Below are 27,739 nucleotides of genomic sequence, written 5' to 3' on the forward strand. Positions count from 1 at the left end.
AAGTGAGTCAATTTGCAGGAAAAGAATTAAGGAAATAATAGGATAGGGCCTGACAAATATGGCAACATTTGTAGTAGTGGTATGTGAATGACTGGTGTTGAGAAAATACTGCTAATGATGGTTTAACAACCCAGGAAAGTAAAAGCTCTTGCTGAATGCAGACAGATCAAAGCACAACTCTGATTAAAGAACTAGAGGTGAACAAATGTGAATCCAGACATAGGGGCCAACAGAACAAGCCAGGTTGGATGGCCAGAGATCTGGTCAGAGTGCAAGCAAAGAGACGTCCATAGAGAACAGAGAGACAGGTGAGACTGAAAACACAGAAAAGCTGTCAGCTCCAAGTCTGAGGCAAGCTGCTAGTCCAGCCCAAGTACTTTAATGCATCCCATTGCCACAGTCCAATTTTATGGATTCATGCTTGAATGGGGATAAATTCAGGCAGATGATAATACCATGTCTGAATAAAGACAAACTGTTAGGAAAATAGCATTTTAAGCAATTGTATTTGTTACTAGGGTACTATAAAAACCACAAGATGTGTCATTTGAAAGTTGTTAAAAAGATTAAATGAATTTTTTTATTACAAAATTTCAAACAAACAGTAAAAATATCAGATTTGAGATGAGTTATAGTTGGGGCAAAAGTTAACCTTTTTTTTTTCCTTTACCAAAATTAGGGTTTTACTGTTTTGTTTTCTCTGTGTGTGTGTGTGTGTGTGTGTGTGTGTGTGTGTTAAACCAACTCTCTGACCCACTTCTGCTTCCAGGGTCAAATATTTTGCATTTCCAATACTCAGGATTGAGAGAGTACAAGTTTTCCTTCATGATGATTTTCTGTGGAACATTTGCTAATAATAACTAAGTTTCAGCATTGTTATGATTTTATAGTATGTACTGGGTCAGTGGTTTCTAGGGGTCAGTAAAAGAAAGGAAGTTTTGGAACTTTCAAAGGATTTCATTTGAAAAAATAACTTTTCGAATTTGGATAATAGCACTTGTATATTCCTTGTAGTTTCCCTGATTCAAGGCAATAAGCAGTATATACAATTACTTGTTAGCTCCCTTCTTTTCATGTTGATAGGGACCACCCATCTGTGGCCTTGGGTGCCTAAAAAACTTTAGTTATTACAATCGAGAGTCACATTAGAGATTGTCTGTAACTTAAATCAGCATATATTATGTATATACACTATTTTCAAATATATTTGGATATTTTTAGTGACAAAATAATAAAATTTATTTTAAAGCATCCACACTAGCTTTTCATCATAATGTAGGTATAATGACCCCATGTGGGAGTCTGCAAAATATCTTGACCTTAAAAATAGTCTTCAAATTCCAAAACAAACAATATACTGCTGGAAAATAATGAATATAGAATGAGAAAATGGGAAGACTTGATTTGAAGATACCTTGAGGAAAAAAATCAGTAAAATAAAACTGAACAAATAGAATTTAACCAAGAATATAATACTTCAGCTAGGTTTTATATTTTCTGTTTACAAGACTATTAATGCATTACAATTTTCCATTATTATTGAACTTCCATTCATCTTAACCAAAGTGAATGACCATTACCATCATCAATATCTGACAATGTACAGGATCATTCTCTGCAACATGCTTGGGGATCTCTTCACAAAAACAACCTTATTTTGACCTCAAGCTTTCCTCAAAATTTCTCTCCTTTTTTTTCTTTGCTTCCCTTCTCAGAAATAGAAAGTTTTTCCCCATTGTTTCACTGTTCATTCCCTTTCTCAGCTCAAAAAAAAAAAAAAAAAATCGAACTTCTACTTGCCTTTCATCAGGCACCAACAATGCTGCTCAATTTCAACTGTCTTTTCTCATCTTACCCCTCCTTGCATGGCATTCAACATAGCTGACCTTCTATACTTGGAAAGTTTTCTCATCCATCTTCTGAGATATCACTCTCTTGATTTTTCTCCCATCCCTTTAGTACTTCTAAGTCATTTTTCTGTTTTCTTCTCTTGCTCTACTCAGTATGAAAATATTGGGTTGACGTTGGACTCAGGCCTAAGTGTTCTATGCTGCCTCCACAGGCACTTCTGTTTCATGACTTTAAATTCAATACATATGTTGATGATGCCCAAACATACATCTCCAGCCTTGACCTATTCTCTAACCTCATAAACCTCTAATCACTTAACGGCTGCCCTTGAAATTCTAATAGTGATCTTATCTCCAAAATTAACTGATTTGTCCTCCTGAAGCTGTTCCTTGTCCCACAGCCTTAATCTCAGCACAAAACAACACCACTTACTCTTTTCCTCTTATCTATGTACCTCCCACCCCCATTTACAGTCAAACATGAACACTTACTTGTTCTGCCTCCAAAATGTCTTGACTCTTTCACTTCTCTACAGCTCCACTGTCAGTGCTATCCAAAACCATCATTTTTTTCTCATTTGTATATTTCCTTCATTTTTCCCAGTCCCCAAAATAAAGTGAATTAAAAAAAACAAATATAAAATTATATCATGTTTTTCACTTACATCAATCCATTCACTAGCTTCCCAAATTAACATGTCAATTAATTTTGGAGATAACATCACTACTTAGTTAGAATAAATGTCAGATTTTCTAGCATGGCCTACATGACCAGGATCTACTTTCCAAACTTCTCCCACTACTCTCTACTTCACACAACATTCTCCAGCCCACTTGGCCTTCTTTCTTTTTCACACATTGATTTCATTCTTCAGAACTCATGCACTCTGCCTGAGCTTTATTTCCTTGATTTTTGTATAGCTTACTCTACACTTTGTCATTCAGGTCTCAGTACATCGCCTCATAAGTAAATAATCTGATACAAATAATCGGTCTCAAAGTAGCTCCATCTTGAACTTTTTGCAATAATAGAAATGTTTGATAACTTATGCTATCCAATATGTGAGTGTTGAGCATTTAAAATATGACTAATAATATTGAGAAACAGAATAATTTTATTTAGTTTTCTTTTACTGTGTCAACTAATTTAAATTAAAATAGCTATGCTTGGCTAGTGACTACTGAATTGAATAATGCAGTTCTAGCACAGCATCTTATTTTGTTTCTTAAAAAATAAAATTATAAATTATAAATTTCAAAAAATGAATTAATATGCTTTTGAAAAATTTATTTCTGTTCTCTACAGCATAATCACCATGAGGGTGGGGATGTCTTTGTTGGTTTGCTTTCATATAATCAGTACCTAGAGGAAGGCCAAGAACATAGTAAATACTCAATAAATATTTGTAGAAAAAAATAGATAATTGAATGAATGGATGAATCTATCCCTCATGAAGTTAAGCATGAGTCATAATATCTCCCTTTCAGACTAGTATAACTGCGTCCTCCCTATGCTTCCTGGGATGACTCCTGCCTCACTCGACTCTCTCCTTCACGTCACTGTCAAAAGTGATCACTCTGAGTTACATATGGGATCAAGTCACACTCTCCTGCCTAAAACACTTTGGTTTTTATGTCACCATCATGAAGAAATGCGAGCAACCCTTTATAATATGGTAACTTTTGCCTAGTCTGGCTCTGCCCACCTCATATTTTACTCAAGCAATATTGATGTACTTGCCATTTTTCACACATCTTAGGGCAGTATGAATAGAACTTCTTTTTGTTTAGCAAAACTATATCCATCCTTCAAAAACTCTGAGGGCTGTTCTTTGTGATGCTTCGTCCCTGGCAAATCTTTCTTCTCTTGCTAAGAATCACTCTTTTTTGGGGGGCACCTTTTATACTTTGCCCAAATATTGATTGCCACATGAATAAATCATACAGGACAGCATGGACTGACCTACTTTGCAATTTTAGCACAGAGCAAAAGGTCTAGCTATAGCACAAAATAAGTGCTCAATCAATACTTGCTAATTAAACTCATCTCATGCCCTTATAGTAGGATTCCATTGTGCTGGTGGAGGGGACCCAATGGCTCTGTCTCAAGGTTTTTATTGTTCCTATAGAAAAACTATTATTTTCTTTTTTACCATTTGTCTTATATAGAACAACTGTTTTTAGTGTCTATAATATGATTTTCTTTATGTTGGGAACATGCTATATTTTTATTTAATTTAGAAGGTCAGTATAGGAGTCTTACACACAATCCCTCTGGAATATGTCTTTTCCTAAGACTGCCACGATTTGCTATAAAATGTAAATAGAATGTGTCTGGGCAAAAATGTTTGACAATATGTGGATGGTTAACAGAAGCTCCTGAGGATTCTACCTGCCATCTCTCTATACCATGAATGAAGTAGTTAATAAGGCACAAGTAGACTTGCAACTTTTTTTTAAAAGAAATGTCTCATATGTTCTGAAAAGTTGTGCATATAAAGGTGGGTTAACAGTGAGTTATTAAAAATATAATTTGCTTTTGTGAAACCACTGGCAATAGTAGGATGAAATATTCCATAAGTATTAAACAAAGTTAACACTAATAAAACTTACTAATGGGATAGTCTTGCCATACTTCCTTGCCATAGTAACACAACTTACTAATGGAGTAGTCTCACCTAGTTCTGAAAACAGAACTAGGGACAGAAGAAAGGGCACTTAACATGGGATCTGGATTTTATAATCATTTTGACACTAATTGTGCATATTTGTGTTCACCAGACCTTCTGAGTTGTAAAGAAAGTTCAGTGCAAGTTTCTATCACTCCCATCCCAGATAAGGTGGAACTTCCAGCCTTCCCATTATCTCTAGAGGTTCTTAGGAGCAGGTTCCTAGACTTAGCAAATAAAAATACAGAATTCCCAATTAAATTTGAATTTAAGATATATAACGAATGGCTTTTTATTTTAAGTGTATTTATATTACATGCAATATTTTGGACATATTTATAAAAAGAATCTGTTATTTATCTGAAGTCCATATTTAATTGGAAGCCATTTAATAGAAATCCATATTTAATTTTTATCTGGCAGCTCTACATGGGGAGAATTCTGGGAAGTGGTGACTTATGTTTCCCCTCATCACCTCTGATTCTAAATTCTGGCTTACCCTAAATGCTCAATCTTATGTGTCCACTACAATTCTGATTTCATTTTCTATGACTCTTCTTCCTTATGCTCTGCACTAGTTGCATGGTGAACCAGGGTTTCTCTTCTTTAATGTTTCCTTCCAAAACTCGTTCAAGAAATTTATGAACACAGCAGACTTTGCTTAACATTTGCAGCTAAAAAGAGACTATAGATCTGTCCAGCTTAAATAATTTAAGATTAAATTAAAGTTGTGTTTATTTTCTAGGATACTTTGGTTACATTCTCTGCCCCTCTCCCACTTTCTACTTTGAGCAAATTTCTCATAGGCACTTGTCTCTATAATCTTTTGCCTCATTCTGTTTTGTTTCACCTCCTATTTCTTCAGCCATCTCATCTGTCTTGCTGCTTACCCCAGCAGCCAGATAATTATTAAATTCATATGGAAAGCAATTTAGCTATCTTTTTTTTACCACCACTTTACAAATTAAGGTCTTTGTGGTCTTAATACTTTTAACAATGATAATTCTTGCCTAAGAAAATGGGAAAGCATTTTCTTTATATATATATATATATATATATATATATATATATATATATATATATCAGAATATATATATATATCAGAATATATATATATGTGTGTGTGTATATATCTCTATATATGCCATTTTATTTGCTCTGCTAGGCTTTAGTCTCTTATTTTGAAATCACTAAGTTAGATATGGCCAAAGTGTACATGACATATCAGTTTGACTCATACTTCATTTTGAAAATAGCTTGATATTCTACTTTTGCTAAGGCTAAATATATTCATAGAAAACTAAAAAAACTCTTTGGGAATATCTATCAATAACTTAAAAATTTTGAATACTCTTAGACCTAAACAGTTGGCTTCTAGACAAGTATTTGAAAGTAATAAAGTTGAGTAGTTAAGGTCATAGTCTTTGGATTCCTACAGACCTGGGTTCAAATCCTAGTTTTGCCATCTAAAGTTATGAAAAGTCTAAGTCTCATTTGTTTAGTAGTTTGTTATTTGGATGTACTGTATTGAATCATGTGAGTGTCTATTTTTCTAGAATATATTTGGAAAAGTATACTCAATAGTGTATGGCTCAGTGTAATAATTTATGACAAAAGATGAACAACAGGTTCATTCCTTTTTTAAAATTAAACAAACACACACACACACGCACACACACATACACATCTAGAGTTGAAATTGTCCACGTCAAAAACTGAGATAATAAGAATATCAAACAGGATTATTGTGAATATTTTAACTATTGATATGTATCTCTTCTAAATATATATAATAAATGTATATTATCTATTATATACATAAATGGTTAAGTAAACTAAGATATAACTAGAAGTCAGAATATAAGAATCTTAAACTAATACATATGAATATTTTAATGATATGAAAAAGTATCCATGAGAAAAGCCTAAACCCAGGATAAAATGTACTGTATACAGTATGATGTCTCCTCAGATTATCCATTTAATGTGTAATTATATAATCATAGATACAGGGAAAAAAATAAAAAGAAATTCACCAAAATAGAACAACAGGTACTTCTAGGTAGTAGAATTATGAGTAGCTATTTTAATACCTCTTTATCTACATATTTCTAACAATGGGCATGCAATACTATTAGCAATAAAAAAGTAATGTTTACATGTATAAACATATGTATGCATAACATATACATACATACAACACATAGGTGTGTGTATATATATAATATACATATATGTCCTTAAGTTTTATATATTATTGCTGTGTATTATTTTAAAGAAATGTATCCAATTTAAAATGATGTATCAAATTTTTTTAAATAAAAATGTTTTATTCTATCCATCATTCATTTCATGAAAAAAAAAATCAGTATCTAGGTTTAGCAAAGAGATTATTAAATTACTATGGCTCATTCTTGGTTTTGTTCCATGTATTAGATAGCACTTTGGTTATTTCTTTAAAAGAATGTGATTTTGGTAACTTCCAGGTTGAAAGTTTCCAAGTTCAGAAAACTTGTTTTTATTTGTATCATTTGGTAGCTTAGTAAATAATGCCCGCTGATAATTATTATATTTCACATGGCTAAGAATTTTAAAAGTACTTAAAGTAGGTAAATATCTATTAATTAAAATTAACCTTCTTGGGTAAGACTGCTTACTCTGGCATTGTTAAATGAAGAAAAGTGAGCTAATTAAGTTTAGCCCGCATTAAAATTTGAATTTTATTGTGTCTAAAAATACTCTTATTCTCTTATCCTTTTTCTTTAGGAAGAAGATGCTAATCTATGGCAGAATTTCTTATTTATCTCATTCAAAATACACTAATCAGATACAAAAGACATGCTTTAAACACATGACAGTATGTGTCAATTTTCTTATATAAATAAGTGGTTTGATTTCTCACCCAACAATAAACAGATAATAAGATAGATAGACACATAATTGGCAAAATGAGTCAGCAGTTCATTCTCATATTTTTGATAATTAGAGATTATATTGAGATGTCCTATATCAATAACAGATGTCACCTTCTCTGATTTATCCCATTTGATAGAATCTTTTTTTAACAGTTCAGTGGTTTTCCAAAGATTTAAAAATAGAAATATCTCTGACGATTTGAGAACTATAAGTAAAACTAAAGTTAAATGTTAGATCAAAAATACCGTTTAATTAAACAAAGAAACATGCTACTCTGTAAACTTTTCCTCTGAAAACCAGAAATCAATGCTTTCCAAGTCAGTCCCATCGTTGGAATCTTATCTGTAAGGAAGAAGACTTCCAGATTACCTGTGACTACTTTCTATACTAACATTTCTATTAATATTTTACTACCATTATTAGTTTGAACCCTATGAATTTCCATTCTTGCAGGATAAATTTGGAGAGATGGAGTCAATAGTTTATGATTCAGTGTAATAATTTTTGCCAAAAGATAAACAACAGTTACATTCCTTTTTTAAATTACACACACACGTGCACACACATCTAGAGTTAAATATTTACTGATTTATATCTTGATTTTTACGTTTAAGGTCTGGATTTTCCAAGTGTGAAATTCTAATACTACTAATACTACTACTACTAATTTTAATACTACTAACTCAGTAGTAAAAGAAACTAATAAATATTTATAGAATCAATCAGTTATGCCATTATCAGTGATTCCATCTCAGACTAAGTAGGGCCAAAAATTAATTAGAAGCATAGTCCATGAAAGAGGAGCACATTTGGGGATGCACTGCATGGGTGACCATCATTCAGCACTGGGCACAACATTGGGACTGATAAAGATAACGCCATGCCACTTACACCGTTAGCAGGGTGAGGATTTGAGGGACTTTCGATGCAATTCTTTGATTGAAATCTTGTGCTCTGACAGTAGATTTCAATGGTTTAGTCAAAGAGTTGCTTGTACACAATGCAAAAGCTGCCACAGAGGGAACTCATGCCTGGCCCTTCATACCTCTAAAAGGGGACACCAATACAGAGGTAGCATGACCCTTACCAGGGCCAGGGTACAAGCCTAGCTCTTACATTTTAGGAACAAAATATCCACTGTGCATTTCGGGAACTCCACCTGACTCCTACTCAGCTGCTGACATAACTCTGATTGAGACAGCTAATTTTTGAGATCAACAGTCTAAAGCTCAAAAACATCTATGAAAGTATCTTAAAACCCACCCCTGTGCTAGTTTAGATTGGCAGGAGTACATGATTTGGACATTCTCCTGGGGAAATGTCTAAGTTCTATAATTATGTTTACCCAGGCTTCTTATGCTGAGAAAACATTTTCCAGGTACATTTGATTCTACCAAGAGAACCTTTCAATTTAGAAGATACCTGAGAAGCTCTCATTACGGTATTTGAAAGTGCTCCCAGGATTCCCTCTGTGACTCTTTTTCCTCATCAATAAAATATTATTTGTACCTAACAGAAGGATTTTTCTGAGATTTGAACGAGTTAATTATAATATGTCCTCAATAAATGCTAACAGAAGTTGTTTTTGACACTATTAAAAATAAAAACTTTCAGTCTTCCTAATATTATATGCTAGGCTTCTCACAAGAATTGTTGAGATACGTTCTTAGAGAAAATGTTTTGTAATTTAAAAAAGATTTCTTAGTATGACACAATGCCATCTGTAGGTGCAATGAAACCAAATAGTCTCTGTGTTCTCATTTTTATTACAGAGACGCAACTGATTTCATAGCGATCTTATGATGATTATGAATGAGATTATGCAGGTAAATTTCCTAGAACAGTGTCTTGTGAACACTTTCTTCTTAGTTAATATTAGATTCCCAATGCATAGTCCATAGTCCCTCTTCAATATCCATGTAAGAATCCAGTGCCAGGATATATTTGTTTATCGTCTAAATGACCTGTTTGTTATTGTTGTTGTTAGTTTTCATGCTTTGCTTGCTGTGCTTTGTTTTTTTGTTGAGAACTATATGGTTTGTTCTGCGTTTTCTTTTTTCTTTACATTTCAATAAGCTTGGAGCTAAATGTTATGATTTATAGCAATCTCCAGTACAGTTTCCAATAAAACTGTTGTAACTAAACCCTCATTATTTAGCTTTTATTCTCATTTTCTCACTTCATTAGTTTTGTTTTGTGTTTGTATTTTTAAATTGCGTCAAGCCCCTTGGTAATTATGTAGAAATAATAAATTTTAAAAAGTAAATCCTGAGGGTACATTTCAAATATTATGAGAGCTCAGGTACCTTCTAATTTAAAAGATTCTCTTAACAAAATTAGAATGTATCTAGAAACTTTTTCCTCAGCAAAAATAGCTGGTAAGTAAGGAAAGTGGTAGAAGTTCCACCATCTCTCCCTATTTGCTTTAAGATTAAGTGACCTATCTACTAAGCCATCAATGGGAAGAGAAAACTCAATAATTTAATATGAAAAAAGCTGGGGGGCGGGGGCTCTTCTTTTCTCTGCTAGAATACAGCCAGACTTGAAAGAGTAGTTCCGGTTTATCCAGCCAGCTAACATGCTTCCATTTCTGAAATAAAATAAATTTGCAAAAAGTGCACCTATTATGTCATAAGTAATTTGAGGATTTTTTCCTCTATTTTTTTCTTTCATATTGGTAGCAATACAACCAAGTAATAATATAAAGATAGAGTAAGATAGTGAATAATAAGCTATAACTCTCTCTGGAGTTCTTAGTTTAGGTGAATTAAAATATGATGGATCTACCTTGCCTTTGAATATCAAAATGTTCCCTTTTCTTAAGAGAATACAAACAGACTCCTTAACAAAGAATATACTAGATCCTTAAGTTGCATCTCTAGTAACACCTTTGTAAGTAAAACTCTTAAATAGAAAGTAGAGAGTGGATGGCATGTTGAACACTCATGTGTTCTTACTAAAATGCTTTTGTCTAGCATATATGTTGCCTTAATATTATAATTAATGGCATTTCTCACATGGACTAAGAGGAAGGCATATTTTTAATTAAAAGTGCTTATTAAATCATTAAAATAATATAATCAGTAGTATATTATAGTTAATACTCTGTTATATCTTCCCTGTCTCTACAACTATCTCATACTAAAGGACAGTTATGTGGGCTTTTTTAGGTCAAATAATCAACTTACTCTTACATCTAATTGCATCTGAAAATCTTCAGAGACACTAATTTTGTTCATTGTTACAGCAGAACCATAAGCATCACCGCGCAGATGTAAGTAAACTTTCTATCCTGCTCAGAAAGTATCCAAATAGAACCTGTCCTCATACCAGGGTTAAAATCTCTAAAAGCAGTGGTAGGTGTGTTTGGCTGTTGCAGCAAGTCATGTGTTGGAATTTGCTCCATTAGGAAAGTTATAACACAGCTGAAGTTTTAATACTAAATTTGTGATGGATAAAACCCAGTGCTACTGATTCAGCTGCTGCCTACCCTGAGTCACACTATCTCCTCTCCAAGACACATGTAATATAATAACAATCCAACAATTAGTGCACAGTCCTGCCTGCTTCTTAAAACCTCACTCCCAGATGCAGCTTCGATCAGATCTTGGTTTTATTAGCTGTCTTAATTAACTACCATTATAATACCAGTTCCCTTTTTCATTCATCAGGCTATCTAGCTAGACAGTGTTGATGTAAACACAGAGCTTTAAAAGGCAGTGACTTTATTCTCTTCGCATGTACCTAGTCTCTAAATTATGTGTGCACATAGTGTATAGAACTATGGTCTAAAAGCCATAAAAAGAAAGTACAATTTACAAGAACATTCATTTCACTTGTATTTAGAGTTGGAAAAATGGGGTAGGAAAGAAGACAATTTGATTCACCAAGTATAACCATTCTCTCCTGGACTTTTCAAGATGTGTAAAATCTCATCTTACCAAACCACTCTGATGTATGTGGCTTCAAACTAGTATTAAAAATGATCTTCAAAAGGCAGTATATAAAGTCAAATTATATTCCCTTTGTACATAGGTTAAACATCTTTGTTGTAGACATGATAAAAGAACAGATCAAACACAAAGAGAAAACAGTATAAGGATCTGATATGAAAAGTCTCAAGTAGAACAGAGAGCTTATAGAGGACTCTGAGTATGCATATATATTTCTATGTATTTATAATATATATTTAAATATCTATGCAATATATATTTACAATCTATTTTAAATGGTACCATTTACTAAGAAAGCAGAGAACTAACAAACGTTTCAGACTCATAGTGCAAAACAAAGGAAGACTAATTGTTAGTGCACAGAAGGTAAAATAAAAACAGGGAGAATATAATGGTCCATATTTTTCCGCAATACTTAAACAAAACTAAAATGATAAAAGTAAAATACAATGCAGCGTGGAAGAGAGGACCTCTTTCATATGACTCTGCAGGAATATGCTGAGAACAGAGTGTATTTATATTTAAAGCGTCATGATTCAGTTTCCTATTCTGCATCTTATAAATAAAATAAATTCAGATAAATTATCCTAAGTGGTACTGTGGGTCAAATGTTCAAAGTACATTGCAGCTTTTCCCAAAAGACTTGATCCACTAATACTTTAACAAGAGAGTGTTGGTCATACAATTCTTAGTGTCAGGAAAAAGAGCGAGGTGAAATTGTTACAATTTCCCTTAGGAAATAAATGATGGGAATCTAAGCATTTAATTCCAGCTCCATTCCTAAACTTTCACCAACTCTATTCCAGCTCATAGTCCATAGGTCAGCCAACAGGGGCAATAAAAAATATTCTTTGCCAACTGCATTTTAACAAATTTGAGAATCAAAATCAATTAAATAGATGACCATTAGCAATTCAGTTGAGAATGGCAGGCTTTTCCCACTGAAAGGGAGTGGTTCCCGTGGGTAATATCTAAAGGCTCTTACACTCTGTTATCAACAAAAAGTTGGGTATGTTTCAGTTTATCAGAAAACCAACTCACTTTGTCCCCATTGGGTAGTGAATTAAACCTAAATTCAACTTATCTAAGTCTAAAATAAGTAATTTTATTAGCTGATCTACCTAACACTTTATTACACAATGCATTCAGTGTTGTAAACATGGTTTTTGGCAATCTCTTACTTTAGCTCAGGAACTTAGTTGGAAAACACTAGACAACATTTGGATAATGACAATTTCATCTTGTCTTCTTTGGAGAGTAATAATGTAAACAAAATGAGCTCTTTACTGGCAGCCAAATGCAATGGAGTTTGTGTCTGTTCCTTTTCTAATATCGGTGTCCCAGGGCTATTTTCTGACTATGTTTCTCAAGGCAGAAAGACTCCACGCCTTTATTCAATATAAGAATATTGTACAGCATTATCAACTTTGTTTCTCAGTCAGACTCTTCTAGTGAAAAGTGTTACTCAAGAACATCATTAATTTATCTGCTATTTTTAAAAGCAGTTCTAAAGTTCTGGTGCTTTAATGGAGGGAGTGTCCATGAAAAGGTGTCTAGGATGGTTTTAGTTGTTAGGAAGGGCAAGGCAGCCTTATCAAACTGATGCAGTATTACCCAACTGCCATTCTGAAGAAGCCAGAATGAGGTGAGAGAGAAAAGAATTACACACTTCAAACTAACCAGGTGACCTTACATCCCTTTCCCCCAGTACACTTGGCTTTCAAAAATCTAATGTTTCACTTCTTTCTGCTTCAACTGCCAAAACTGTTTGAAAAAAAGATTATTACAAAAAAAATATGTATGTGTAGGTAAGAGATGCCATTTAGATCACCGACACTACCTCCAATTTCCTAAGATTTTCATAAAAAAAAAACAACATTCTAATGTAATTTCGAAACATGATGAGTTATTTTTGTTTAGCAACAACAAAACCCTAAAGTTGGAAAAACTTAATGTTAGACCAGAAAGGGGCCATACCAGTGATCTACTTCAACCTTTCTTTTACAGAGGAGGAATCTTAAACCCTGAAAGATCATGTTTTTGCACAAAGTCACAGCTTCCCAGTGTTGGGCTAAGAGCAAGAAGTTATCTTGTAGTTTTGTCAGGTTTTTTTCTTATTAGTTTATAGATATAAAAGTTGATCTATACATAAATGACTAATAATGAACTTTCTATCAGAGAAATGGATGGAATTGAGAATTCACAGTTGAAACTGTTTAACACTTACCAAGTGACAAATATCAAGTAATTTAACCATCATGATAGCCTTGAGTGAGGTACAATTAGTATCCCTGTTTTACATTTTACTGAGAGGTAATAGGCACATGAGGCTCAATAACTTGTCTACGGTCACATACCTCTTAAGTGGTGAAGCCAGGATTCAAACTCAGCATCTGATCCAGTGTCCTTGCTCTTAACCATTATGCTATTTTGCCTCTCTTTGTGAGGTGCTTAGGTAGTTTAGAGACAAAGATGCCAATTGGGGGCAAAATTCTCCTGCTTTTCAACATCTTGGTGAATACAGATTTCTCCTTATAGCTAAGTATAGCCAAATAAGTGCTTTTTCACTTAAAAGGCCATCAGGACCCTCAAGCTTCCTAGTCTTTTCTGCCATGAAGGTTCTTAGGAAGACCTGTTGGAATAATGCATTCCCCTCTGTCTCCTCCAGAACTTACCAAACCCACCACATTATAAGATGATGCAGAGTTCGTGCCAGGTAAAGTAGAAATCGTGTACCCAAGAGGCTGAGTGACTTTAAAGTCAGGAGTCTTGAGGGGGGCAAGGGCATTTCTGGATTAGCTTAGACTAATGTTCTTCCACCCTACTTTTGTTTAGGAACAGAAAGAATATTATACATAAGAACATTATGGTTAATTGACAATTAGGAAGATTCTACATGGCAGAAGTTCCAACAGATAAGATACGACATACACAAGGGAGAAGATCTTTAACGTATGTTCATTGGCTAATTTCTTCATAGCACTTCTGCAGGTTAGGATGGCTTCCAGTGCCACAATGTATGTTGAAATTCTGGGTAAACATTGGCATGCTTTCCCCCAGATTCAGTGGGCTGCTGTCCTGGGGCACATAATCTTAAATTAAGAATTGTTCTTAGACATAGGGAATTTATGTTCAAGATTTGAACCTCTTGACTCTTCATTATTTGGCTTAATAAGCACATATTTGATTAAGAATACATTAAATAAAACAGAAGGGCTACATGAGTCAGAAGCTCTAAAAAACAAAGGACATTATAGAACACAGACAGCTAGCTGCTTTCTTGCTCTGCTAATAAAGGTCTCCCTCCAGACTGTTTATGTAGTATGCACAGAGTGTCAACTGATGTGGATTGTACTGAAAACTTTCAGACATAATTAACCCCAGTAGCCTCGTAATGCAGTTTCACCAATAATCCACAGCCCAGGCTGTACCCCAGAAGAATCTAACAGCTAGCTCACCCCAGGCTTGCAACATTTCATGAAGAATCTGTGATTAAAGCCAGACATGTAGACAGTAAGAAACCATGTGGTGCATATTACCTCCGCACATCAGTTTTAATGGTACATGCTCTACTCATGACAACATAAAAAGTCAGTACATTGTATCTAAAATTGATACATCTACTTTAGAAGCCAAGAGAAAAATGGAAATTAGATAATTAATAGGATTACCCTCCTAAAATAAAAATCTCAGAATAACATTCTCCAATAAAGACCCTCTGCTTTTGTGGTACATTTGTTCTCTATGTGATGCAATACATATACGCTTATCCTTGGCATACACAATGGCTCAAGCCTTTTAGCAGTTGATTATGTGCAGTGTTATACCCCAATGAGAGCCTCCTAACAAGATCTGAAGTCAGCAAAGTCAAATTATCATCTTGTACTTCTTTTGCACCATCTAAGCACCTTTGGAGAGTGCTTATATTTAATTTATGTGCCAGTAAAGTTTTGAGGATTGCTACTAGGTAATGCTATTAACTTGCATATTTTTGCATAAAAGATTTTGGAAGAAAAAGTTATATTGGCACACAGGGAATGGGATAGCATTGCAAAAATCACATGCATATTCAAAGATAATGACATATGATATTCTGAATCCTACAGGGAAATCAATTCTTAATTACTCTTCCTGACATTTGTCATTGCATAGCATTCCAGGAAAATCACTGAATCTCAAAAACTTCCACATTACCTGGAAGAAGGAAAATGTGAATTAGATAAATCTTTTCTAGACCAATCCTGCAGATTGAATCTGAGGGAGGGTGTTGTACAGTGGACTTTTCAGTCTAATAGACTGGGCTAAAGTGTTAAATTATTAGTGGGGTAACTTCAGTAAATTGGCTTAATGTCTCAAAATCTTATTTTTCCTCATTATAAAATGGTGATAATGCCACTTTCTTCAGTGGCTTACTGTAGGGACCTTACTGGACTGGAAAATCTCTTTTTGAAAAATTCATATAAATTTATGGGATACAAGTGGAATTTTGTTACATGTGTAATGGTCAAGTGAGGGCTTTGATGGTACCTATCATCTGAATAACATACATCATACCCATTATGTAATTTCTCATCATCCACTCCAACTTTCACCCCCTAACCCTTCCAAGTCTCATGGTCTATCATTCTACTTTCTACTGGACTAGAAAATCTAATTCCATCTTGAAAATATGTGATCCAGGGTTAGTCCTGTGATTGTTTAGAAAATGCCACCTTCCTGAACTGAATCACCTTGGAATACCTATATCCTTTTAAGAACCCTAAGAGTTGCCCTTCAAATCATCCCCATCCTGACAGCACTGAAAAACAGAAACAAATTTGCATTGACCAGTATTCATTCAATGCTTTGGTTCTTGACGACAGATTATGACTTCATGGAATAGCTTTTGCCAAAATGCACTTGGAGAATTTTGAAGTCCAAGTGTTACAATTCATCATGCCACTGTAAAATGACAGCTTAATCACATCAGAAGAATCTTTAATTAAAACAGGTTTCACTTAATTGTTTAAAATATACTCCATCAAGAAAAGTAGTTTTAAAGGGCAAAACATTTAATGTGTTAATGAGTTTTCCTACTTATCCTGACATTTGATATCTTCTGATGGCTTTTGATATGCCCATTTAGTTTTCCCTGCTAATCTTTAACACTCCCTTCCCTAGGGCAATCATTCATTCAACCATAAGCATCTGATCCTTGATCCCTGAACAGAACAGCAACATTTGTAATTTAAGTCAAGGCCATCACTTTGAATTCCCTGCAGCCACTTCTCTAGACTACAGGCTTCCTTCAAAGAATACCTCTTGTCTACCTCATGGCTTCTCATACCTACCTCTGTATTAATTTTATATGTCATTTCTTTTGCATCAACAATTAGGAATTTTTATAGGTACTTATCAGAATACTAGCTGTCTTGTTTTCTAAATTTAATTGCAAGACTTTAAAGCATGGGAGCTGAAATCTTAATGTCTCTTTATATGATGCCTGCAAGGATGTAATTAATATTTGCAAGGCATGATGACAATCATTAACACTACCACTAAAAAGAAGCAAGTCACCTGTAGCAACACAATCACCAAGTGAATAATTGTGAAAGAATATTAATGGCCTGACTACTTTATCGACCAAATATTCTGTCCTAATGATATTTCAAAATTTGGATCTTTTAAAGAGGCCTGCTGCTGCAGAAAGCATAGGTAAATTCTCTAATTTTCCTAACTTCAACTTCTAACTTTTCTGAATGAATGTCATCCTTGTTATCTCATTGACCCAATAAAGAATTCAAACCAAAGTTCCCAGAAATGTCTTTGTTAAAAGGTACTCTGTATACTTAAAAGGAATAGTAAACATTTTATATGATAAGAGTTGCCTTGCAGCAGCAACTCTCAAGGTTATTCTTCAGTGCTGAAATCTTGACTGGAATGATGACAATCAGAGGGTTTGCTAGTTCAGCTAAAAGCAGCTTCTGCTGCCCCACAGAAGCTCCTTGGGTCTTCTTAGCTTGTAGTTTATTGCTTTCTGAGTTCAAACATTTTTAAGCTGGAGAAATAACAGCTGAGATTTTTCAGGCACTCATGAGAGCTTTCTATTTTAATGCTGAGGCATTTGAAGGCCACTCAAGGGGTCCACCCATCCTTCTCCTCCCTAGAGGCAATGTCATAGATATGAGAGCCTGACAGTCCAGTCTCTAAGAACTACTGGGTGCATGGGGATGACCCACAGTGTTAATTAGGAGAGCAAAGTTTGGTGCATCACTCTGAAACCTCAATGGGGAGTAAGAGTTCCACTCCAGATGACTGATCATCAAATAAGAATTTGGAAGGGGTCAGAGCATCTGGAATTATCTCTGCAGATAATAGCTCTGTTTAGGAGCTGAGCCAGGGAGGAGAGAGAAGTCTGTCTTGCATAGTCTGGCAAGATTTGGAAACACTGGGCTTCTACAGATTCTTTATGCCTTACAAACTCATTATTATATTTCACTTAATAAATCTGCATTTGCTATTTTCTGTAAGTTTGCTTGAAAATTTTCCCTGATTTTGGTTTGCCTATTCAGCAGTTTTGTAGTCTCTACTTCCTAAGCACCTATATACCATTCTCATTTCCTTTCGTCTGCATCTGCAAAAGGTCTCTTTCTCAAATCCATATGGACACAAAGTCACCTCCTATCACTCTCTCAACTGCTCCCTTTACCAGAAAGGTGATCTGTATTTATTTTTCCCAAACAAATCTCATGTCTTTATGCCTCCTGCTTCTATTCCCTGAAGATCCCTTGAAGAGACTATACTCTCTAAAAAGCCATGCCAAACCAGATAAAACACATAGAAGAGAGATGATATTTCATGAAAATCGGAGTCAAGCAGACCTAGCTTGGCATCATGGCTCTGCTATTTACCATCTTTGTGAACTTGGACTAGTTACTCCTTAATTCTTCTGAAAAATGAAAATAACATCATCTGCTCCATGATGTGTGCTACTTTCCGTCTTCTATTCACAATGTCCCCAATGTCTTGGAGATAGTCCATATATCTTTTATCCTTTGCTAAAGAGATTCCTTCTTGAAACTTGAATTGACACCATTCCTTTCCTAGTATTCTTGCTCCAAACACTCAGACCTAGGCAGGGTTAACTCTTCTCTCTTTTTTTGTACCTCTGCTGCCCTGTTATTCTAGCACTCACTGTAATGTTACAATTTTTGATAAAATTAACTAGGACATAGGGAGAACTCCTATAACCCAGCAAACAGCACAAAGCAACTTACTATATTTCCTCATATTTGACAACACTAGTGTTATTCACAGGAGCTAGTCCTGTATTCCTTTTGTCCTCTTATCCCATATAGAGATATCATAGAGTATCAATGGATACTATATGTTAGAGAACAAATACTCCCTCAGCATGACAAATTGTTGTAATCTTATCTGCCCTTATAGATGCTGCTTCCCTCCTCTACTCAAAATGTCCCTAATGTCTTGGAGATATCCTATATATCCTTTACCCTCTGCTAAAGAAATTTCCTCTTGGAGAAATTTGAATTGACACTATTCAGCTCTGAGTGTTCCTACCCTAAACACTCAGACCTAGGCAGGGTTATCTCTTCCCCTCTCTTTTTGTGCCTCCACTGCCCTGTTATTCCAGCACTTACTGTACTGTATGATTATGTGTTTATGCGTCTGTCTCTGGTTTTAGTGGGAGACAGCAATTATTAATTATGTTGTCCCCAAAATATTTCACGGGGCCTGGCATGTAGTAAGTACTGAAAGTAGTTGTTGAATAATGAATGTACTTCTAAATAGTGTCCTCTGTAACTTTTCCAATATTCTACAACAATATCAATTTTCCTGGAGTTAGTTTTTGTGAAAAACAACAGATGAATATGATTTCCTAGGTATTGCATGTCATTAAAAAGTTTTCATTAGCCTCAGACCTCTAAATTTCCTTCACTGAATTCACCGTTAATACAGTTTTCAACTTGCAATATAAAACATAACTGCTCTTTAAGTGAAAACTTGTATTAAAGCCACTGGTAAATCTCAATTAAACACAATCATTTTTAATGGCTAATTGTGAATGACACCTGGAAACTTAGATAAATGGAAGAAATGAAATGGGAATTTTAACCTTCATAAGGAAATACAATTATACTTACAGTGAAGCAACAGGACTCAGCCATTAGGCATTCTTGAACTCAACAGTAATTTTCAAAACATAGATTGGAAAATTTAAAGACATTTCAAAGCTTTATGCTCTAAATTTTCTGTTATTTGTACAAGCAAATTTCACAGAGTTTGAAACTTCCCATGAAATGTCTTATACACTCAAGAAGCACCAAAAAAGATATGTTTGTTGAAGGGCAAAAATAGAGCATGAAGGATTCACCCACCTTAAATGTGACTTTCCAATAAGGTCATTGATAATATCTTTCTTCATTGAAACAGCCTCTTTACAATATGGAAGAAGTAACTTTCAGCAACCTGGTATTTGTCCTATGTCATTAAGAAATCTATTTTTAACTTAGAAGGTGGGCAATCACTAACTACATATTCACGTGAAATTATTCATTATTTCATATACACTTTTGGTCTCCACATACATTTTCCTTCATAGTTGATATCTCTCCTATAACCTCAGTTACACAAATAAGATAGCCCTGGATCACATGGTAATGAAGCAACAAGTTTGCACCTGGTAATAAACAAGACTTCCTTATATTTGAATTGCATTGTAGAATTCACTATATATTTCAGACACTCACAACCTCAGGGACCACCATAAAAAAAGAAAGAAAACACCAGGGCTGAGATCCTGGCTATCCACCAAGGCTGAGGTGGCTGAGACTTTCAAAACCCATCTGAGTTACATTTTCTTCTTTTGAAAATTAAATTTCTAAGAAAAAAAGAAATAGCATTTCTTACTGTGACTCTTTTTAAAGCAAAAGTGGAAAATTACTTTTTGATGGAGAACCAAAGCCCTTAGACGTATTAAGAAAACGTATTGGATGATATCCTCTGTGAGGTGACAGGCATTGTCATAATCAAAAAAATGATAACTCAGCAATCTTATGTATATTAACAGGAAGATGCACATCTTATATTTAGAGAATCTCATGACACTCAATATTAATTGAATGCAATTATTCTCCAAATATAGTCAGATTTTCAATTCCTCAGCCTACAACAGTTTTTGACTGTCACAACTGGGAGGGAGGTGTTACTGGCATTCAGTAGGTGGAGACCAGGGATGCTGCTAGATGTGCTACAAAACCCAGGGCAGGCTCCTACCACAAAGAATTACCTGGTTCGAAATAGTGCTGTGGCTAACAAATCTTTATTTAAGATTAATATGATAGTGCAGTGGAAAGATTACTGATTAGAAATCAAAGAAAGAGAATTCTAGTTTAAGTGAAATATGATGAGGTTTCTCACATACATAATGAAGATACTACCACATATGCTACCTAATTGATGGCGTTATGGTGAAAACTAAATAACATCATACATGTAAAATGATCCTGTAAACCAAATAAAGTATCAAAATGAATTGAAACACAGTGTGAATCCTTTGAGTTTAAGGAAACCAAGATAGAAATCTGATAATATTATCTGTGTAGGTGGTTTTCACATAGAATATGTAAAGATTTTAAGTAAGTTATTTAAACCCAATTACTTCTCATGCTTACTGAGGAGAAACCAAGGCAAAATGAGCTAAAATGAGAGAATAAGAGATATGAGTTAAAAAATATATAGATAAAAATAGGTATAGCCAAACACTAGAATTGGAAATTAATGGATACTGTCAAGTTTCCAATTATAGTTATTACTGTAAAATGTCGGCATGGTTGGGAGCTGTCTAAAATAACAAAGAGTGTGATTTGTGGAGAGAGATTGAAGTGACCTAAATGACCTCTGAAAGCTCCTTCCATACCTAAGACCTCCACTCAGACTTTATACCCCAAGATGAGCTGTCAACAGGCTTTGGTAGGTTGTCTTGTAGGATTCCAGACTTTGCCACATTCAGGAGCTCACTCTTTAATCAGTCAGCTCCTTTTGGTCTCCTCATGTCTCTTTTCTGGTGGTCAATTTCATCCTCAAATAATTTGCAAAAAAAAAAAAAAAAGAGAGAGGTAAAAAGCTCCTTTTTGTTATTGCTTCTTTCTTTATAAATCCTGATGCTGTAATGCTATTTAAAAATACATTTAGTAGGAAACTCAAAACCTTCTTCTTGCACCTCCCCTTTCTTGCTCCATAAAATTCCTATTGCAGTCTGAGCCATGACTAACACGTACAGTATGCTTGCAATGAAAATGGTTTTTTCCCCTACATGCCCTAACTCCAGATTTTCAATCTTATGACTCTACGCTTTGATTAAGACTTAGGTTGAAAGTAAGACTCTGTTGTCATCCCAGTCTCAGGTCCTTTGCCACTGAAGTCCTTGATTGGAAGATCTAACCTTACTGCATATTACAGTTCATTTCAGTGTGGAGAACCACAAATAGCTAATGCTACTAAAAGGGGAAAATGCACATGGTTAGAAGGGGGAGAACTAAATACAAATATAGTTAGCCACAAATGTGATTGTGTGTATCTGGGCAATAAGAGTCAGAGAACATTTGGCTCTTCCTTCAAAGTACAAAAATACATGTAAATATGAGAAGTGTTAAAAATAATATAGTTGGGGCACCACTGACCACAGTTGGAAAATTTCTGGGCGCATAAAATTAAGATAAATTATTTCCTCCCCATTTATTGGTGTTATATGAATCACCTTTGATTTGATCTTTTGAAATTGCTCTTCTATTATTCTGATTATAATATTCCCAGATTTTAGCCAATCCAATGTTAAAAGTTCACTCTCTCACCTCTATATCAATTATTTCCTTTTTTTTTTTTTTTTTTTTTTTTGCTGTTTTACTTTTCCCTCCCTCCTCCTAATGGAAACCAATTAGAATAATGAGGGCAAAAGGTTATATATACATCTGGTCCCTGCATTTAACATCCTGATTTATCTTTTATGCTTTGTTGAGAACAATGGTGAAAGGTGGGCAAGGATACCCCCTTGCATATATTGTCAATGAAAATTTTTTTTAAAGGCATCCTGCATTTTCACAATTTTCACATATGTGACATCTGAAATAACTCAGACATGGCAACATTAAGGAAAGCATTGCTTCTTAGTTTCATGTTTAATTGTCAGAGCCAGGAAAGAAGGAGGTGAAGAAAGAAGGCAGGACTTGTATGGGCTGACGCTTTAAGGGACTAAGCTGGGGCAGGCATGGCTTTCATTATATTTAAGTGAATTAGTCTGTTTCCTTTAAACAGGAGAGATTAACAAGCTACCAAGGGCCTGCTGTGGGATTCTGACACTTTTAGTGGCTTGTGACATATGATTTGTGAATATCAATTTGCCTTCAAAAGCAAAAAAGCAAATCTTCCATTAGTACAAGGTTCGCCAAAAGCTGATTCTAGGTTAGTTTGGTTGAAATTCATTGGAAAAAGCGTTTGCTAAGATGGGGATTTTATTTGATAGTGTCTGGATAATTTTTAATTTATACTTTAGACTTAAAAATGGCTACATATAGATGTGGGAGTTTAATATGAATACTTTCTTTAATAAAGATAATATTTCAAGTTCTGAACTTGGGAACTATGGGAAGATTAAATAAAGAAGAAAATAAATGTCAGCAACCCTAAGTTAACTTCTCTTAAAATTTTGCTTTCTTTGTAAAAGAGTATGTCTTCAGGCAGTTTGGCATCAAGACAAATATTTCTCAAACTGCAAGAAAATAAAATAAATAGTGTTCCTCATATGTGAGAAGGTTAAAAATCTTTGATATTAAACAAATAACAAAAGAAATTTCAAACTGAAAGAACTGATAGAAAATGAATTCACACTATAAAAGTATTTTTTAAATGTTTCCATTTATCATCCTTTGAAAAGTAACTACTGAAAAAAATCCATTTTTTTCATCTGTTTCTTTTTTAGCCATCAGGAGTTTCAAAATAAAAGTGGTCAGGAGCCAGACTTTTTTAACTGCAGGTAAACATTTGTAGATGGCAAGAAGAGATCTTTTTTTGTTCTTTATGTAGGCAAACTTTGTCAAGAAAGCACAGAATACTCTATGGAAGTTTCCTCTAGCTATAAAGTTTAATTTGCTGATGTAGCATAGTGACTAATTTGCCTCTGTCTAATTGAAGGATTTCAAATTAGACTAGTTGCATCTTATCAAAGGGCACAATAGCTTAGTGATTAAGTGCACAGGAACTGAAGCCATACTACCTGGGTTCAAATCCTAGTCTCATCAATTATTAACTACTCAGTGAAGTTACTCGGCTTCTCAGTAGCTTCAAATTTTCCCATCAGTACAATAGGATAACCTAGTATCCACACTCTAGGATTGTTTTGAGCATTAAGTGAGTGTACATATAAAGTACATAGGCCTAAGCATTCAATATCATTAGTTATTATTATTTTCTCCTATTCTAAAAACAGAACTGAAACAATATCTAAAACCAGGAGCTAGATATCAGTAGTTAAGACCATTCACCCAGTTTGCATTAATCATTCAATGCTGCCTAAGAAAATTTTGTATGCTGTTTTTTTTTTTTTTAAGTCTATCTGTTTTTTAAATGTAATGTGCTAATACACAAAGTAATTTAAAAAAAACACAGTGGCACATAAAGAACACATATGTTGATTAAAACTGAATTGCCTCAAAACCTTGCCCAAGATCAACATAGGGAAACAAGGATTTTTTTATAGTTAATGTAACAGACTATAAAAATATGACTTTAATAACAACCTATTCCAAATTCTAATTTTTCCCTTTCTAGTCCCCAGTCTGCTTCTTCACAAAATGTCAATGTTACTAATTTAAAATTTTACTAATTCAATCAGAGTGCCAGTCACTAATAAGGACATGAGAGGGTAGGATGGTCTAGGACTGAGGCAATATATTTCTATTCTATCTATAATCATAGTCACTAATAGGGGAAAATATATAATAAGACAATTGATGGATGGCATTTTTCAATGAGTAAAATTGGAAGTATGCAATTCAGATTCTTTAATAATAATTTGATGCCTTCTTTGGAGCACAAAACATTAGGAAAAAGATGTCTTTGGCTAAGTGCCTCATACAACATAGCACCGCATATAACAAATAATTTCAAACCTCCACACCTCCATGAAGTCTTTTGGGACTGTGAAAAACCCAACCACACTACTTTAGGTTGTTCAGTACAATAATCATCTCAGACTAATTAGTTATGGCCATTGTCAGTGGTTACATACTGCTAAATTCAGCTGAAACTATAGGTCAAGCTTATTAAATGACTTTGAAGCCTTTGATATGAAGAAAAAATATTTTTAAAAATCTGTACAGAAGAAAAATGCGTCAGTGTGTATTGTGCTGTCAATTTTTTTGTTGTTTTGTTTTTTTGAGACAGGGTCTCACTCTTGCCCAGGCTAGGGTTCAGTGGCACCATCAGGGCTCACTGCAGCCTCATCCTAAGTGAAAGGGATCCTCCCGCCTCAGACTCTCGAGTAGCTAGGACTACCAGCAAGCACCATCATGATTGGCTAATTTTTTTTTATTTTTTGTAGAGATGAGGTCTCCTTATGTTGTCCAGACTGATCTCAAATTCCTGGGCTGAAGCAATCCTCCTGCTTTGGTCTTCCAAAGTGTTGAGATTACAGGTATGGGCCACTGCTTCCAGCCCATGTGGTCAATTCTTTATTAATATTTTCATATTCATGTTTCCTATGACTTTACAGGAGATATTCCATGAATTATATGGAATATGAATCTGGTATTATGTGTATTTTGTAGGTATAAAGAAATGTCACTTACATAGACATGAGCCTATAATTTGTATACTCATGAAACACCCAAGGTGGACAGAGTCACAGCTTTGACTGTAGTCCCAGTTCACTCGTCTGAGAAAAGGTCATCTACAGGAACTGAAACTCAAATAATCTCCACAGCTGAAGGAAAGAATTTCTCACAATAGAGGACTTTTTTCTCAATAAACCATAAGACATTAAAGAACTCTTTGAGTTCAAAAGATGGTTCCTGAGGAAACTATAGAATCTCGTCAATATTCCTTCTTCATGTTTCCAGTTTTGGAGGCTGGGCTGCAAATTCAAGTGATCACTTTGAGGGCTAGGTTCCCGCCAACACTCTTGGGGTTAGACGCACATACGCATAAATTCCTGTGGCTTAAAAAAGAAGAAGGGAAGAGCTCTCAATCCCTAAAAGTTTGTTTACACGACTGTCATTTGGTGTAGCATCCCCAGCTCTTCCTCATAAATAGCAGTGGCGGAGCACTCTGACATGGTGAGAAAACAGCCAGCTTTTGATGAATATCATATCTTCTCTTCCCTCCCTCCAGCTTTAGCACACACGCACTCAGACACTTACAAGAGTGAGCTGAAAACTGACCTAATCTCAGATTTATCAGAAAATCTCTTTCACCAAACAGGGAGCATTTAAACTTAAGCATGTGTTTTAACTTACTTTAAAAATTACCCCCTTTTTATAGAATATACTGGAACTTTCTCCCTTTCCAGAATATGTGCAAAAATACAAAATGTGCAAACCTGGAATATGTGTATGAAATTCATTCTGCCAAATTTTTCAGATTATCTCAAGCTCAAAAGACCTTTGTCCTTTCCTCCCATCACCTCTACACTTAATTTAGTGTTACTCTTAATTTTATTGTTTTTTAGAGATTATTAAAGTTCAGATTTCTATGTGTGAACATATTTGCCCCCCTCCTCCACCGCCAACTGTGTGCAGTGCATCTAGAATGAGACTTTTATAATTTTCATTTTGAGCAAGCACACTAGTTCATTCTGAGCATGTGGTCCATAGACCCAAGTTTGAGAAATATCTATTACTGCCTGTTATTACTACCTATTTCCAATCTGGCTTTCCTCTCCTTCTCCAAGCCTGTTTTCTAAATGCTCATTAGAAAGAATCTTCTTATAAAGAGAAATAGGTAGGGTATGGATCTCAAATCAGAATGCACAACTCTTATCTGTGGGCATTCTATCTCTAAGAAAGTTTCAGAAACCTCCTGGGGATTGGAATGAACATATGCATTTATTTGCCTAGTCTCAGATAATATAAGTAAAAATCCTTGAATGGCACTGGGGTTGGTAGAATTGATCCTCATGTGCTCTTTGTGCTCAAGGTAATCCTGGGTCACATTTCTTATCTCGTTCCCTTGCACTGGAGCCCCATTCCTAATTGCACCACCTTTCCCAATATCACAACCATCATCTCTCTTCTCAAATTACTATAGTCCCAGCACTCAGTAGACAAAGAGTGTTGAGGAGAAAAAGAAGTAAGCTCCATAACACTCTAAATTAGCAGCTGTTTCAGTCAGCCTCAGCTCCATAAAAGCTCCATTACCCTAAGACTTGACAACAAAACATTTGTCTGCTGTCTCTAACTTCATAGCCCCTATTACTATGAGAGAAACAAATTTTCTGTAAGAGGAAATGCCAGTTTTAGAATCTTATTTTTTTCCAAGCCATAAAAATTCAAGTGATGTAAACAAAGATGTTAATAAATTTTAGGAGAGTTGTACTATGTATTATGGAAACATTTTGAGATGTGAGAGGCTTAAAGGTAGGATGTTAAAGGAAATCTACACATAGTGAGAGAAGATAGATGATAAAAGATGTTAGTTTCAAAGAGTAAATACACAGTAATGTCAACATAAATGTTGAAAAATCCTTCAGAATGTACCAGTTACTGAAATTTAATTACATTTGCTATGGTTTGAATATTTGTCCCCTCCAAAATTCATTTTGAAATTTAATCCCCAGTATGGCACCAGGAACCAAAAGGTGATTGGTTCATGAATGCTCTGCCCTCATGATTGGATTAATTCATTGATGGATTAATTGATTAATGGATTATAATGGGAGTAGAACTGGCGGCTTTATAAGAAGAGAAAGAGGAACCTGAACTACCACACTCAGCCCCTTTGATGTGTGATGTTCTCTGCTGCCACGGTGCCCTGCAGAAAGTCCACAGTAGCAAGAATACCCTCAACAGATGCGGCTCCATGACTTTGGACTTCTCAGACTTCAGAAGTATAAGAAACAAACTTTGTTTCTTATAAATTGCCCAGTTTCAGGTAGTCTCTTACAAGCAACAGAAAATGAACTAAGGCAACACTAATTACCCATTTTTAAAAATTGGTCTTCTCTCACCTTTAAATATAAAGGGGCTTCTTTAAATAGGAAAGGTTCCCATTGGTTTAGCGCCTATCTTCAGAAAAGGGGCTTTTGGGCCAGGTTAATGGAAACCCTTTAATCAAGTCAGATTGAATGTATCGCCCAAAG

The 27,739-nt window shown here is 34.7% G+C and overlaps 1 protein-coding gene across 2 annotated transcripts in view, besides 1 other annotated feature; it reads right to left on the minus strand.

Annotated features, from left to right (window-relative positions):
* The window catches only part of FGF10 (fibroblast growth factor 10), an 89,174-nt gene that overhangs the window by 43,621 nt on the left and 17,814 nt on the right, over window positions 1-27,739 (minus strand). The window lies entirely within an intron of this gene.
* Window positions 26,110-26,279: an enhancer, noted in NCBI's record as "experimental_85945 CRE fragment used in MPRA reporter constructs". NCBI's record gives its function as "activates a minimal promoter by MPRAs in K562 erythroleukemia cells, with activity observed for both the introgressed and non-introgressed 5:44370164 variant alleles {active_cell/tissue: K562}" and the evidence as "EXISTENCE:reporter gene assay evidence [ECO:0000049][PMID:34662402]".

Source organism: Homo sapiens, chromosome 5, assembly GCF_000001405.40.
Source record: "Homo sapiens chromosome 5, GRCh38.p14 Primary Assembly".
NCBI lineage: Eukaryota > Metazoa > Chordata > Mammalia > Primates > Hominidae > Homo > Homo sapiens.